We start from the raw sequence: 16968 nt of genomic DNA, 5'->3' as shown, positions 1-16968 counted from the left end.
AATAAAATAAAATAAAATAAAGGTTCCTAGAGGCTTTATGCACAATAGCTCAAATTTACAAACAATCCATTGTTCAATCGAAGAATGAATAATTAGTGATATGTTCTGTACAACGAAATGCTTTCTACAACAATCAGAACAAACTACTGCTACATGGAAACATGGATGAGTCTCACAGGTATTATACTGCATAAAAGGAGCCACACACAAAGAGTAGATGGTATATGTTTCCATTTACATGAAGCACCAAGAACAGGGAAACTAATCAATGGCAATATAAGTCAGAAGAGTGGTTACCTGGAGGGAGAAGGGGAGCGAGGAAGGTATTGACTGAGTGCACTAGGGAGCCTTCTGGGATGCTGGAAATGTTCTACATCTTGATCTGGTTGGTGATCACATATTTATAAATTTGGCTTGAAAGTGACAACAAGCATTATCCACTCCAGGTGACATTCCTCTCTGAAGGCCTCACTCCGGAGTTTCCAGCTGCTGGCCAGGGATTTATAGTAGGCAGGAAGTGCTGTCTGCCCACCTCCCATACTCCGCCCTCCCCTCTGGCACGCCCACAACAGTGCCTGCAGAGAATAAACTTCATATGGAATTACCTTCTGGGATTGGGCTCACAGTGAGACACTTTCCCTTAATTCTCACACAAATACTCTCTTTGCCTGGAAGGCAAACAATACAGCCAGAACAGAAGCTGGGGCCTCCACTTCTGCATTTTCCTTTTTCCTTGATTGTGTATGGAAGAAATTTGAAAAATATTTCACAAGCCATCAGCCTGTTCCTGCTGTTTTCTTCTGCAGGGATTGATAATGTGGCCCCATCAGTGGCACTCCTAGCCCTCAAGAGATACGTCTATGTTTGCCAGATCCCAAGTGAAACATTGAGTCAAAAGGAATATGTCCCATAGTCTCTGGATGCACAGGGTTCCCAAGGTGGAAGAATCCACTTTCTGAGCAGACTCACTCCAACTGGACACACAGACTGAGCCAGAAAAAAGCAATTGCAGAGCAAAACTCTGACACCAGCTGGGACCTCAAAATTCAGTAGACTTGGGGGATGATATAGAGAGGAGAGAAACAACGCCCAGATGAAACTGCCAAGGTAACACTGTTATTTATTAAGGAGGCAGAAAGTAGAAACATTAAAAAGACAAACTTCTCTCCTACAAATTCCTATCTTCTTTAAGCTAATAACGTTTTTTTCATCTTCACCATGGTATTATCAAACCTAGCAAAATTAATAATTCCTTGATATCATCTGATAGGCAGCCCACATTGAGATTTCCATAATGGCCTCAAAAAGGTCTTTGTATAATTGCTTTGGTTAAATCAAGTCCCAACCCAAGTCCACACATTGCATTTCATTAGGTGTCTTAAGTCACTTTTGTTTTAAACAGTTTCGCCTCCTTTTTCCTTTACCCTAGCATTGCTTTATCAGAGGATATGAATCAGCAATGCTTTAATTCCTTTTTCAAAAATAAATGTGGTAAAGTGTCAAGATTTGATGAAGCTGACTGGTGAGACATGACTGGCCATTATATCATCCATTATGCTTCTTTATATTTTCCCCCAATTTTTTATCTTGAAAATTTTCAATTTTTACAAAAAAAAAAAAAAAAAAGGCAAACTCCTTTCTTGACATAAAGCTCCAGGATTAAGATAATAATAACATTTATAGGGTGTTCAAGAGGTGGAAAGTATCATGCCAATTGATTTCAATGGATTATCTCATTCAAATGCACTGAGAACTCTATGAAGTCAGTGTTAAAATCATCCCCATTTAACAGGTAAGAATCTGGGGCATAAAATTATTCTAAGTAGTCAGGGATGGGACCTAAATTCAACCCAGGTTGTCTGAAACCAGACCACCCTCTTGGCCACCATTCTATACTGGTGCTTCGGTTTCCAGTTTCAGATTGGTTATGTCAATGATGAGAGCAGCACCAGCCAACCCTGGCTATGTATTTTCTGGATGGGGACACAGGTACATAGACAGAGCCCCTCACTCCAAAGATGGCCAAGGATTTCTCACACATTATCTCATACCTCCTCATCACCCAAGAGAAAGAGAGTCGAAGAAGTGGAGAATGAATTTAGGCCAACACTGCTATTGAGGAAAGAGGACATGCTTTGACCATGACCTACCACTCATGGCCTTTGAGGCCTTGGGCAAACCCTAAGCCCCTCTGAATACAGTTAAGACCCAAGGAGAAGCGATCCGACCCCACGCCAATTAAAGCAGAAAAAAAATTTTTAAGACTGAATGTGCTCATTGTGGGAAGGCCTACAAGAACCTAGGAGTGAAATGGAAAATATTTTCAAGATGTCGGATCACTGAAAATAAGTCAGAGGAGTCAAGAGGAACCAGGTCCTTTTCCCATGGCTTTGCAAGTGATCTGTCAACCATCCCAGCCATGGGCTGATGAAACCTCTCAAGGTGCTGCTCCAGTTTCTTCATGCTGGTGAATGTAGCCAGGAAGGAAAGCAGTAGTGGTACGAACAGAGAAACACAAGATACCAGAGCTCGCTGAACTGTGCTGACAACTTACACCCTGGCGCATCTCTGACTCACTGACTTCCTCCGTGAATTTTTGTGGTCAAGGCAGGATAACAGATCTGTCTTTGGGGAGGCAGTGTGAAATGTTTTTGCTTCCTCTCCCTACCACCTTCCATCTTCTTTCTTAACCAGGAGATGGCTAGCAACTTCTAGAGACAGCTGCTTTGGAAGAAGCTGAGCACACAAAGGTTGCCTCCTCACCCAGGAAACTGCTGAGTTCAACGCAAAGACTGGAGGCAAATGTCCAAAGATCCGTATCCAGCAGGGGGAAAAAAACACCTGGCTGACCTGTGGCAGCCCCAGGACCAACAAAAATCTGTCAACAACCATCTACGTGCTTTTAAAGCAAATCAAGATTTCAAAACAGGATTCTTCCACTGTTGTTTTTTTTTTAATAAGGTTAATTGATGGCCCTCTGTGTGCCAATAAAAGAATGTGGAATATCTGTTTGAAGTTCTCTTTATTGGCCCAGCAATGCCACAAATTGTGAAATAAAAGGAACCATAATCTCAAGGAAGAACCGCGGGTTGAGGTGTTACTTTTATATAATTTTCTTTACCCACACCATCAATAGCCCCTCTGAAACTTGTCTTGTATGAGCCCTTGCAATTGCTCATTATGAGGAACATCTGTTCTTTCTGCCAGCCCAGAATCCATCCCCACTTTCTAACTAAAACTTCTCAATTTTCCTTTAGTGTACTCCTTCCCTCAGCTCTGTCTGTGTGGTTGGGCGGAGCTAACCCCAGGGCTAGCATATGACTCAGGAGTGGCCTCAGTCACAGTGACCACTTTAGGGATGAATACAGAACCTGGCCCAGGCCAATGAAAGAGCCTGCCCTGGGACTTTTGCTGGAACTATTACCACAGAGGTGTACTCTTGCGTGCAAATGGGTAGGGTACAGACCAGGAGCTTCTCCTGGTCTCCAAGGGCCTATCTTTGACACGATGAGGAGAACCTACCTGAGGATGATGGCAAACACAGAAAAGTTTGAACCAGCAGGTTCAAAATCTAAATTCTCTAGTTCACATACTATTTAAGTTGATATGCTCGCTTTTAAGAGTTGAAATTCCACCTACAGGGAACCAGATGTCTCTACAGAACTGTCTTTCCAATCTAGTTTAGTAAAGTCTCAATTTGTATTTTTGGCATGTAAAAAAATATCTTTTCCCAACAGGATATCTTATGAACGTTGCATTTTTCAATACACAGTCTTACTTAGGTGCGCTTTTATTCATTGAATTTATATTGGATGGATACATCTATTATGTATGGATGTTAAAGACTCCATTGAGACTATACAAAAATGTAGTAATAATGATTGGGTCAAATGTCCTAGCATTTCAGAGGCCTTGCTCTTGGGCTACTTTCAGGGTTAGCAAAAGGGCCAAATAGGGATCAAGAGATCTGTCCTTCCTTTAGCCGATAACCCCTGTCCCTCAGAAGCAGTAGATCCTCTACACAGGCTGCTAGCATGACATTAGTTCACTTATTCACTTCATAAACTTAATTTCCTTTAGAGAGGTGCTTTCTAAATGGTTTCATACTCCTATTTCAAACAGATTATTTCAAATGCTTTAAAGGAGTACTTTATGGAAGCATCACCATGTATTAAAAATCTGCAGAATCCTTCATGGGAAAGAGCTTCCAATGAAGTGAAATAGAATATGATGATACCATATCTTTACTTGGGTGTTAGGTTCTACAGCTAACATTTAAGGCAAAATCCAGATAGAGTGAGAATTTCTCGTGAAAAGCCCTTAAGCCGGGCATATGGCATAATATACTTTGCTTTGTTTAAACTGTACTGTACTGCCTGTCACTAAGTTCCACGGAGAGTTTTTCCTCCATACGGTGGTTTATTCAGCTGAGCACCAGACAAAGCAGTTACTGGTGTTCAGAGGCCACATTATATTCTTGTTATTTGCAGAATGCTTATAGTTGAATTCATGTAAGATAAATACATGTATGGTACACCTCAACCAATTTTATTATGTTTTCTTAATACTCTCCAGGCAACCCAGGACACAAAGACTGGAGCTACTTTTATCCTATAAAATCCTTTATTAAGTAATCTCAGGGACGCTGGGTAATAAAGTATACACAAGTATACACACTGCAATCTTAGGTACTGGGAATGATGAAGTTTACTGACTGTCGATTGGGAGATGATACACACAAGAAACATCTAAAGAACAAAGCTAAGACTAAACTTTCAGGGATCATCTTTATAGTTTGCTAAATGATCAAAGCTAAGTTGAATTAAAACTATTTATTAAGTAGCTAACTATGTGTAAGAAACAATAACCACATTCAGGTCATTTAATCTGATGGTTTTAAAACTATTAGTACAGAATATCTTTTATCAAAAATAGACAGACAGATAAAAATTGAATGTGAAACCCCAGTACACCAGCAAGATGAAAGCAGGGCAGCTCTGGAAGAAGCTGGGAGAAAGGTTTCTTTCACCTCAGCAACTGTAGAGTCCCAAAGATTCTTGAAACATAATTTGAAAATCACTACTGTAGACGCAGTTCTCTAGTCCTACCCCTTTTATATTAAAGCTGCAGAACCACAGGCCTAGGAGGGGTGAGCAGCTTTTCCAAGTCCATGCCGTTTAGCAGCACAAGGGAAGCAGATGCTACATCTCCTTGCTCAGTCTACCATCATTTCCATTACAAACCTGCCTCCCCTCCTCGACCACCCCATGTGTAAGACAGAATCTTTCAGAACTGTAGGGGAGGGCCAATGGAGATTTGAAACGATTGAAGTTGGATGTACCACGTCAGACAAGACTTCTGGGAAGAGGGAGGTTTGGTGCTAGATCTTACAGGAAAAGCAAGGCAGGATTAATGGAAAAAGCCATTTCCCACTCTTCAGGTGGAATGAAAAGTATGAGAAGGGAGGTATGGATGTGGAACAAGGGAGGCTAGCAAAATGGAATGGAAGGTCTTGAAAATAACACGGCCTGAGGGACAGAGGGCGAAAGGAACAAAAGGGGAAACTATTCACAATGCTAAATAGTTGAGGAGGAAAAAATCTTTCCAAAAATGTATCACTTTCTAGAAGCTCAGCTTGCCAAATACTTTCAGTATTACTGATGTGAAGACAAGCGAGGATGGAAGGAAAAGCTCAGGCGGGAGCGGAGCCCTGCAGTCAGAAGGCTTGAATGTGGAGGAGGCTCTGCTTCCTCATCCACCCATGATGGGAGCCATGAGAACCACAAACACTTTACATGAGTTAATGTTCAGAAAAAACACGTTGTAAACATTTCATCAGTTTGTAGAGTTACTGCCTCTTAAAATAAAACATTAAGCAATATTTGTATATGAATTCATCTATTCCCATGAAAAGCCCATGTAAAGAGGGCCATTGCCTGTAATTTTCCAACATTTCCAAACATTCGCGCTCCATATTAGGAGCCTGTAGGCATCATCCTGCCAGGGTTTAGCTGTCAGAACAATAATACACCATCGAGAACCAGAGCCCTTCCTGCCTGATGGTTGCTTGTATCATTTCAGCCATCGTAACCAGGTAGGTCGAGAAAAGTTTCACTGGCTATTTGGGTTGGAGACATTGAATTATTCAGATATTTAAAAAAAAAAAAACTGAAATACAAACATAAAAGGGATAAATGGAACAGGATAGCAACGGAATGACCAAAGTCAGATGCACACTAAACTATAGCAGAAGCAAGCAGGATATGAAGCAATAAAGCACTAGATATAAAATTTAAAGGAACTGATCAAATAGACACTAAGAAAATAAACAGACTCTAAAAACATGCTGTAAAAATACAGAAGGCAAAAGCTAAAAATGTTAGGGCACTGCCCAGTCTAAAATAATCTTCAAAATGTATGTGGGAAAAGGGAGGAAAATGGTTAGAAACCAGCAACAAACACAAAAAGGCAGAGGAAGATCAAGGAAGCCAACCTGATGTCCTCTGCTAGCGCCCTCCCACCCACCTCCCCCTAAACCAACGGAGAGTCTTTTTCTGGTTGTGTTGCTGACCTACTTTTAAACATCTATGAAATAAATAACTATAGTTTCATAAAGCCTGGGAGGAGGGAGAGAAAAGAAATGTCCTGGGTCTTAAGGTATGTAACAGACCTAGCTACTAAAACCACACCCATGGATTTATTTTAATTAAGGAACTTAACTGGGTTTTATTACTGAAATTTCTCTTTCATTCATAACCAATAAGTGTTACTTTTAGGACTGTTATTTTAAAAATAAAACTAACACTTGTGCATGGAGTAAAATCAAACTATACAGAAAAGTTTAAAAATGGAAGGTTAAAATTCTCTATTCTCGCTCCCCGAACATTTCAACGATTTTTGAGTATCATCTCTAGAAATTATTTATATACAAGGAAGAGCATGTGCACAGACTTCATAAACATCCTTTTATTTACTCAAATGAGATCACATTATTCAAGAAGTTTTGGATGTCGCTACTGTCACAGTGCTTTTCTTAAAAGGACACACAGACCTGCATCACATAGAAAATACTGCACAGGACTCCACGGTATGGATACACATAATGGAAATTGTCAGTCCCATACTAGTAAGCTATTTTGAGCAATGCCTTTTTAACGATCTCTTCTATCTATCTTAGCTTTTCCACCAATGCTGCAACAAACACCCTTACCTGTAGTTCTGGCATTTGTTCTAGCCCACTCTGAGCTGTCAGGGTCCATTTTCATCCTGCAGTTAACTCTCAGTCAACTGGACTAGGGGGAATTACCAATCTAAAACAACCCCAAATCAATCCTTATTAACAATTAAAATTTAATAAAATATGGTATAAAATGAAATAAAAATTTGTTTAGAGAAACTTATTTCCAATACACAGAAATATTTACCATTTTAAAAACATCACAGAAAAAAATTAAAATAATAACAATATTGCATGATCTCAATTATATGTAAAATCTGAAAAAAAAAAGAATAAAGGTCAAATTTACAGAGATAGAAAACAAAATAGTGATTACCAGGTTTGGGGTAGTGGAAAGGAAATGATGAGGTGTAGAGGTCAAAGGACACAACGTAGCAAATATATAGGATGAGTAAGTCTAAAGATACAACAGGAAGACTACAGTTAATAATGTGTATTGCATTCAGGATTTCTGCTAAATGAGATTACAGCTGTTCTTGGGGGGTAGAGAATGGTTAACTGTGAGATGATCACTATGTTAATCTGTCTCACTATAGTAACTGCTTTACTACATATATGTATCTTACAATCATGTTGTATGCCTTAAACACACAAAATAAAAGTTATTTTTAAAAATAAGGAATACAATACAAAGGTTTGGGATTAATTTAAGCCTGTATTAAAAAAACAAAACAAAAAAAGGCCCCTCAAAGAGGTAACAGTCTTTTAAGGCAGTCCCCTAGTGTTGGCTCCAAGTTCCCTATTCAGATGAACTTCCTTTCACTCAAATATTAGAAGAAAATGTGCAGACAGCAACTGGTTTCTGAGCAAAGAAGCATCTTAAATGGCCTGGCAAGGGAATCAGAAGGAGAGCAGGCCTTCCCATGATGAAAGCCAGATAGCAGTCACCCCTCACTGCTTCTGACTTGCTCTTCCTCATCAAGAAACCTCACAACTGTATCTTTTTTTTTTTTTTTAGATGGAATCTCGCTCTGTCAGCCAGGATGGAGTGCAGTGGCACAATTTCGGCTCACTGCAACCTCCGCCTCGCAGGTTCAAGCAATTCTCCTGCCCCAGCCTCCCGAGTAGCTGGGATAACAGGCGTGTGTCACCACACCCAGCTAATTTTTGTATTTTTAGTAGAGAAGGAGTTTCACCATGTTGGCCAGGCTGGTCTCGGACTCCTGACCTCAACTGATCTGCCCGCCTCGACCTCCCAAAATGCTGGGATTATAGGCGTGAGCCACCGTGCCTGGCCCACAACTGTATCTTAAACTCCGTGTATCACATAGGAAATGAAATCAACCTCATCCTTAATGTCAGCTTCCTCTTGTCTTTCTCTGGGCTCATCAGAGAAGCCTTCAAGCACTCTCAGATTAGCTTGGTGCTAAATTGAAAAAGTTGAGGGTATGGCCTCTTTAAGCTTTTGGTTTCCTGAAATGCAAAACAGGGATAATTGTGTCTACCTTCATAGGATCAAGAAACAATACACGAGACTTTTTTGGCAGAAAGAATGGTATACAGTAAGTACTCAAAAGGTGTCATCAGCCTCCGTTTCTAAAAAAAAATCAGCAGGTACAGAAAAGAGTAGTCTAGCACTACCAGAAGACTTCGCTTAAAGATATGATTAAACTTGCTCAAACTTCCTGCAGCGCTGCTAATTAGTGATACCCTGGGGCCTCCCCAGCTGAGGAGATAGCAGCTAATCCAGGGCTTCAGTGAGACAAGAACACATCTGACCAGAAACCGGGTAGCAGTCTCCTAATGGCTACTGTCAAGTTCTAGGCACCTGGAACCTTCCAAGATATAGATGCTTTCCTTCTCCTGCAATTTCATTCTCTTCAAAAGCATGCTAGTTTTATTTACTTATAACCATGGTTATTCTGCCCCACCAACAAATCAAGGGTTTATAGTACTGTACCAAGCATAGTCCCTTACAAATGATCAGTGATAAGGAGAAACAGTTATAACTTCGGTTATTTTCCTCCTACTTAGAATATGTACCAAATACATAGACCCACCACATTAAGTATCATTATAATGGACATCTCTGAAAAAAAATTATTTTCAAATTTGTATCTCAGTCTTCAAATTTACTTAAACTCAAACCTCCAATGCCACCTAAAAAATTTGTAGAATCTTAAATTTTACCAAAATGGGATTGAAACCAGAATTTAAACTAACACAATCACACTTTAAAAAGTTTCATATGAAAGAATCCTATGTCCTGAAAGATGGCTATTTTAGTCTTTGATTCATTGACTCATTCATTAGAAACTTGGTTAAACATCGCCTTCTCCAGAAAGCCTTTCTAGAGTGACCGTCACATCCTCTTCCTTGTCCACCCACATCTTACAGAAACTTCTATTAGTAGATTACTGCTGTAGTGGTCCTTGTTTCTACTTGCCCCACATCCATTCCCACTTCTGGTAACAACACCTTGATTCTCCCTTGGGGAACCATTCCTCCCCAGATGACAGTCCAGATGGCTCCCCTGTCTGTTACACCCTGGCCAATCAGCATATTCTATCTGCCCTCTTCCTGGCCCCAATGATTGGCTTAGGAATGGGCATGTGACCCAACTCCAAGACTTCTATTGGAACAATAGGGGAAGAAGTATGTCGTCTTGCCAGAACTGCTGACTGTTAAGGGTGATATGAGGTTGGAGCCGCCAGAAGTGGATGGCTGGTGGGTCACACACAAAGATGTAACCTAAGGATGAAGCCAACAGAGAGGAAAACAGAAAGAGTCAAAGGCTACTTCTGGAATTTTCAGATACATGAACCAAAAAATTCTCTTTTTTCCTTGAGCCAGTTTCTGGCCTTTGGAAACAAACCAGGCTCACTAATAAAACTACTCCATTTATTTCATTTCATGACCCTTACCCTCTCCTAGAACATAAGCCCTTAAAGGGCAGAAACTGGGATTTATTATCTTTCTATTCCTGTAATCTAGCAGAAGGCCTGGTTCACGAGTGCTGAATATGTGTGCAGCACTGGGCTCAGTGGGAATTTTCCTACAACCAACTCTCATGTTCAACAAACACTTTATATGCACCCTGTTCATCTGCTTAACATGACTAACAGTATCTACAAAAAGTCCCTGGTGTGGGCTGTTTATACACACTGGCAGAAAATAAAATGCTGTATTCTTCCTTTCTGCCTACCAAGATGCAATCCACTTGTTAATTCTTTACATACATCCCCAACCTCAAAAATATCAAGAACAACAACAACAACAAGCCACCGAAGTTTCCAGAGCAGTGTCACCAAAACACTGTCACAGGAAAAGAGCAAAGAGACTATGCAGGAAGGGAAGGCAAACACAGGCAACAGCTCCCCTAAGTACAGAGGTCCTCAACCCATACTCCTCATCTTCAGGGGCCGTGATACACTGACCACCCATGTGCACTTCTCTAAGCAGAGGACCCACAGCTTAGTCCCAGAGCCATTCTAAAAGGGCTCTGAGATTCCAGAAAGGTTAAGAAGCACTACTCTAAAGGGTACAATAAGCATTTCTAATATTTCATTGCTCTTCCCCTGCTAATTCAGTTAAACGAACATTATTCATGGAAAAGACAAATAATCCAACTGGAGCTCTTCTACCCACCAAAGATAAAGAGTCTCTAAAGAACAGGCCAACATAAAATCAAGCTTTATTTGTTTAAATCTGGCCTCTAATGTAGGAGGAAATAATTTCCCAAGAGTCACTGTCTCCATTGGGACTGATCAACGGCAGCCAGCAAATACCTGGCCAGATGGAGAGAAAACAGCTTCATCTTCATCCTGCCAAGAGCCTGCCAAACTATAAAGGTCTCATCACAAAATGGCCAGCCTTCCTGAAATGAGGAAATGGCATTTTTTATACTAGTGGAGAAGAGGAAACAAACTAAACGTTCAATTAAAAAATGACTACTTGGTCAGGCATGGTGGCTCATACCTGTTATCCCAGCACTTTGGTAGGCTGAGGTGGGCAGATTGCTTGAGCACAGGAGTTCAAGACAAGCCTGGGCCACATGGCAAGCCCCCTTCTCTATAAATAATAATAATAATAATAAAAAGAGCTGAGTATGGTGGTGCACACCTGTGGTCCTAGCTAATTGGGAGGCTGAGGCAGGAGGATCACTTGAGCCTGGGAGGTCAAGGCTACAATGAGCCATGAGTGCGCCACTGCGCTCCAGTCTGGGTGACATAGTAAGACCCTGTCTGAAAATAAGTAAATAAATGAGTAAAATAAAAAATGACTACTTAAACATTGTGGCATAAGATAATGGAATCAACACAATTCATTAAACAAATATTTGTTGAGCATCTATTATGTGCCAGCAGTTTGTCAGGGAAGGGATACACAACGGCAAATCAAAGAGCTCCAGTGATATACACCTAAACTCATTAACATGGCCAGACCTCAGTGACAATGATACAAAGACTACAAAAAGCAAAAGAACATGTGAAGCACAATTCCATCAACACATGTACATCCATATGCACAATACATATGTATGTAAAGATATATGTATAAAATAACAAAAGAAGTGCAATCCTATGCATGTAAATATATACACAACCAGAGAGGACTGAAAAGATAGTCACTAAAAATTACCTGTGGTCATCCCTAGAAGGGAGGAATGAGGGTAATTATTCTCATACTACTTCCATATTATTTGCATTTTGAGAGTGAGCATATCTAATATTTGTATGTTAAAAATTTTTTGAAATATATCATACAAAAACAATCCAGAGATCCTAATATAATTTTTTGAGAAAGGACAGGCTAAGAAGCTATAGGTCTTTATTTTTAATAAGGAAATAATCATTGCTTACCCAGGCGCAACTGTGCAGTGTAACAGTGGAGAAGAGCACTGGCTCTCATACCAGATGCTCTGGGTTCAAATTTTATCTCTGTTTATTAGCTGTGTGAATTTAGGTAAAATACTTAATCTCTCTGTGTCTCAGTTTCCAAAACTGTAAACTGAGGGAAATACGACCTACCTCATAGAGTTGTTATGAGGATTAAATGAGCTAATAATAAAAGGGATGATGATGGTGGTGGTAATGGTGGTGGAGGAATAGGAGGAGGAGGAAGAGGAAGAGGAGGAGAAGCAAGAAGTAAAGCTGCTCCGGATCTGTTACCTATGAGCAAGGAAACTCATCTAAAAACAATTCCGAGTACAAGCCTGATCCAAGGGTTTTCTGGCCCTTCTTTGAACAATGCCTTTAATAGTAGCAAGGACCACCTCTCCAGAAGCTTCAGGAACTTCTAGCAAACTCTTGCTCATCACTGATTTTATCAGTTTACCCACCTCCCAGCTGCCATCATTCATATCCGTGCACCACCCTTTCCTATTTTCATACCCAAGAGAATGCTACTTCCCCAGCTTTGCAGATCCTCTGTTCTCTAACAAACTGGGTTCTTTCCTTCCTTCTATTTACCCAACTAAATGCTTCTGGTTCTAATTAGTGTTTCCCACCTATCTTACCTTATTATTCTATCATCTAAGTGCCTAGATTGGCACATCAATAGAATACTGATGTATTTTTAGTAGAGATGGGGTTTCAACATGTTAGCCAGGATGGTCTCGATCTCCTGACCTCGTGATCCACCTGCCTCGGCCTCCCAAAGTGCTGGGATTACAGGCGTGAGCCACCGCACCCGGCCTCTTAAATTCTAATTTGGATTTATGTTCTTAGAAAACCATCCACTGATTCCATCCATCCGTTAGTGATGACAATAACAAGCCAAGCATTGTGCTAGGTGCTAGGTTAGGTTAGGGTGGGTATCGGAGGCTGGGAGGTCACCACACCATCAGAAGTTAAACTGATGCCACATACACCTTCTAACCGCTTGACACTGAATGGCTCTATTAAGATTTACATATATCTGACTTCTCTATACAACCAGAGTTCACTCTGTCTTACTGGCACTTGTTTTTATACATATGTGGTCAATTTTTATCGTTCTGTTTTCCCTGCCCTGAATCTTACTTCCAATAAAAACATTACAGCACTAAAAGAACATTAAGAATAACACCTTAAAAAAAATTTGCCATCCTAACAGCAGCTGTTTTATTTTCCTGTATCTTCTGTGGGTTTTTGTACGTATGTGTGAGTGTGCGTGTGTGTCTATGTGTGGTATCATATACATATGTACAATATGCACTATATACACACAAAGAGTTATGATAATAATATGCATACATCCTCATATATTTTTCATTTATTGGCTAAGCATTTTTCTGCATTCAGTATTTATGGTTGTAATAGCAGTATAAGCATTCAGAGGGTTGTCATACCATAGTTTACTTATTGCCCTGTTGGCTAAAACACAGATTATTACACTTTTAAAAGATAACTCATTACATGTATACCTATGTAACAAACCTGCACGTTCTGCACATGTATCCCAGAACTTAAAGTAAAATAAAACATTTGAAAAAAGATAACTCATTAATGAACGATTTTCCTGTATAGAATCTTTATCTTTCTTCTTCTCAATTACAGACTTGGAATACATTTTTCCAGCAATGAGATTATTAGACCAAAAGCTATTAAATAAACAACAAAGTCTTTCATGGCTATATGGCTGTTCTGAAGGGTTTTAACAATTAAATGCACCTACAATCAACACTTTATTATTCATACTCATGAAAGGAAACAATGCTGAGCATAACCCAAGTCATTCTGTTTGCAATTAGGAGGCCAAGTATTTACACATACTTTTACAGAATAGTTGTCTTCTTAATTGCACTTCACAGGCCAACAGAAGGCATGTAGAAAAAATGAGATCAGGTATGTCAAAGTACTCTGGAAAATTAAAAAAAATAATACAAAGTTGAACCCTATTGGGGAGCAGGAGGAAATTAGTCACGGAATTCCAAATAGGCCAAAAGTCATCCATACAGATACCTGAGAGCTGTCTGTGTAGGTGTGCATGCCCTCTCCTACAGTACGTTATAAATGCGATTAGGAGAGTTTTCCTATGTGTGACTCCTCAGCTGAGACCTTACAAACAGAAAGAGAAGTGTGTGTGTCAATATTTGACTCTTTTCTGTATTCTTTTCTCTGCCATCCCAACCTTATAGAATCATTCCCATTCTGCATGCTACAAAGCAAACCACTGAAAACAGAAACCAAACTGCCCAAAATGCAAGGGGAAAAGGAGTGGGAGAGAGAAAACAAAAGGCTTATTTAGAACCGGCTATTAAAGATTAAACTAAAAATTTTTACAGGCCCTTTAAAACACAACGCTCCAACTATTTACACTGGATGACTTTCAAAAACTCCCCTCTACTCCCAGTACACGAGACCAACAAAATCACTGTGGCTAGGTCTCGGCAGCATCCTACTGAGCCTGGATTGCCCAAGTATGGCACCTAGGCTACTGTGGGCGGCAAGCCACCCAGGTGCCGAGGCAAGAGACCAAGGACACGAGCTGTTCCAGTATAATAAAATATAAGACAAGAATAGTTATACCAGATGTAGATCTTAGAGATGATTATATATGAATATCATTAATCATTAGTTTGTAGCAATTACTCTTTATTCCAATATTATAATAATCCTCGCTCTATAATCATAACCTAGGAAAAACCAGGCCATACAGAGATAGGAGCTGAGGGGACATAGTGAGGTGTGACCAGAAGACAAGAGTGTGAGCCTTCTGTTATGCCCGGACAGGGCCACCAGAGGGCTCCTTGGTCTAGCGGTGATGCCAGCGTCTGGGAAGACGCCCGTTGCCAGGTGGACCGTGGTCTAGCGGTATCAAAAAGTGTCAAGGAACAATACCCGCTACTTAGCAGACCGGGAAAGGGAGTCTCCTTTTCCCTGGGGGAGTTTAGAGAAGACTCTGCTCCTCCACCTCTTGTGGAGGGCCTGACATCAGTCAGGCTTGCCCACAGTTATCCGGAGGCCTAACCGTCTCCCTGTGATGCTGTGCTTAAGTGGTCATGCCCCTAGTCCGCCTTCATGTTCCATCCTGTACACCTGGCTCTGCCTTCTAGATAGCAGTAGTAAATTAGTGAAAGTACTAAAAGTCTCTGATATGCAGAAATAATGGCATAAGCTGTCTTTCTCTCTGTCTCCTCTCCCTCTCTGCCTTGGCTGCCAGGCAGGGAAGGGCCCCTTGTCCAGTGGACATGTGACCCACATGACCTTACCTATCATTGGAGATGACTCACACTCTTTACCCTGCCCCTTTTGCTTTGTATCCAATAAATAACAGCACAGCCAGACATTCGGGGCCACCACTGGTCTCCGCGCATTGGTGGTAGTGGTCCCCCGGGCCCAGCTGTCTTTTCTTCTATCTCTTAGTCTTGTGTCTTTATTTCTACACTCTCTCGTCGCCGCACACAGGGAGAAGCCCACCGACCCTGTGAGGCTGGCCCCTACAGGCTACCGTGCAAGAGATAATTTCAGGTGATCCAGAAATGCATGTCAGGTTGTGTGTCACGACCTGAGAAAGATACTCCCTTCCTAGTCTTTTTGAAACTTGGTGAGATAGCCTAAAAGAAGTCTCTACTTGATATTGGCATGTCTCCAAGACTTGACAGTTCTTAACATCGGTTTTTTTTGCTGCTGTTGTTGTTTTGTGTGTGTGTGTGTGTGTGTGTGTGTGTTTTAAACAGAGAAAAGCAAGGCATAAGCTCAGTGGCTTTAGGAGCCAAAGTATCTAGCTAGAACTTAACAATATAGTTTTGTTGCCATTTAACTTATTTTTAGGGTTTCCTTATTCAGCAAGTGATACTGATATAGGTAGTAGGATACGCACTTATTTTTTTAAAAGGAAATTTTGTAAATAAAGAAAGTGAATCAAATCAAAGAAAAGAATTTAGTAAATAGAACAAATGTTACAGGTATATGATCAAAACTGAAAGCGGGGTAGGGAGAAAACTAAAGTTTGGGAAACTGCATTAAGCCTACTTACATTTCATGCTTATCTTTTTTATGTCTTCATCTCCTCAACATAACTGTTATATCCTTCAGGGTAAAAGGCTATATTTTAATATCATATGTCTTACTTCAGTTGCCAGGTATCCTATATAGAAACAGACAGTCTAGCATTTCAGTTCTGTCAGTCAAAACAAAACATTTAAAACTAGACACTAAGTCCATCAAAATACCATAATTTCAGCTTTGCTTTATCTTGATTTCCCATTGATCCTTATGTCCATTTAAAAAATCATTATAACTTAACTTTGCTTTCTCGTGAATTCTGGTTACTTTTTAATCTTTAATGACTTGGAACACTTCACCTTTCAGTTTTCCACTCTGTTAAATTTCTGATGATCTATAAAAAATATTGCAGATATTCTAATAAAATAGGCACAGAGATCCTCTAATTCAAAGAATGCCATTCTAAAGGAGGGAGAGGAATTATAAACAAGAAAACATAGTGGGCTGCACAGAAGATAAGCAGGTGATTTGATAGAAGGTTCTAGAGGTTGGGAAGAGGGAAAGTGCTAATTTTATAAAGAAGAGTAATCAGGAGTAATCACCTCTCTGAGAAGGCACAGGTGACATTTAGGCTGAGATCTGAGATTTAGTAATAATTTTGATGTAGTTATTTTAATCCTAATTTGTTTTGTAAGTACGGTGTTTAGATATTAAGAGTTAAGCCTTCCTATATTAAAAAGTAAAAAAATAAGAGATGCTGGTAAGGTTGTGGAGAAAAGAAAATGCTTATATTGTGGGAGTGTAAATTAGTTCAACCACTGTGGAAAGCAGTACGGCAATTCCTCAAACAGCTAAAAACAG

General features: G+C 40.2%; 1 protein-coding gene and 1 long non-coding RNA gene across 40 annotated transcripts in view; both read right to left on the bottom strand.

Annotated features, from left to right (window-relative positions):
* ARHGAP26 (Rho GTPase activating protein 26) overlaps window positions 1–16968 on the bottom strand; it is a 458635-nt gene that overhangs the window by 248638 nt on the left and 193029 nt on the right. The window lies entirely within an intron of this gene.
* LOC107986457 (uncharacterized) lies at window positions 1591–16912 on the bottom strand. The gene is made up of 2 exons (XR_001742909.3): window positions 16139–16912; window positions 1591–14217 (listed from the first exon to the last, which is right to left on the bottom strand). It is a non-coding gene; the product is annotated as an uncharacterized LOC107986457 (long non-coding RNA).

Source organism: Homo sapiens, chromosome 5 (genome assembly GCF_000001405.40).
Source record: "Homo sapiens chromosome 5, GRCh38.p14 Primary Assembly".
NCBI lineage: Eukaryota > Metazoa > Chordata > Mammalia > Primates > Hominidae > Homo > Homo sapiens.
The sequence above is the reverse complement of the archived record's forward strand: the minus strand, read 5'-3'. Positions and strand labels throughout refer to the sequence as shown.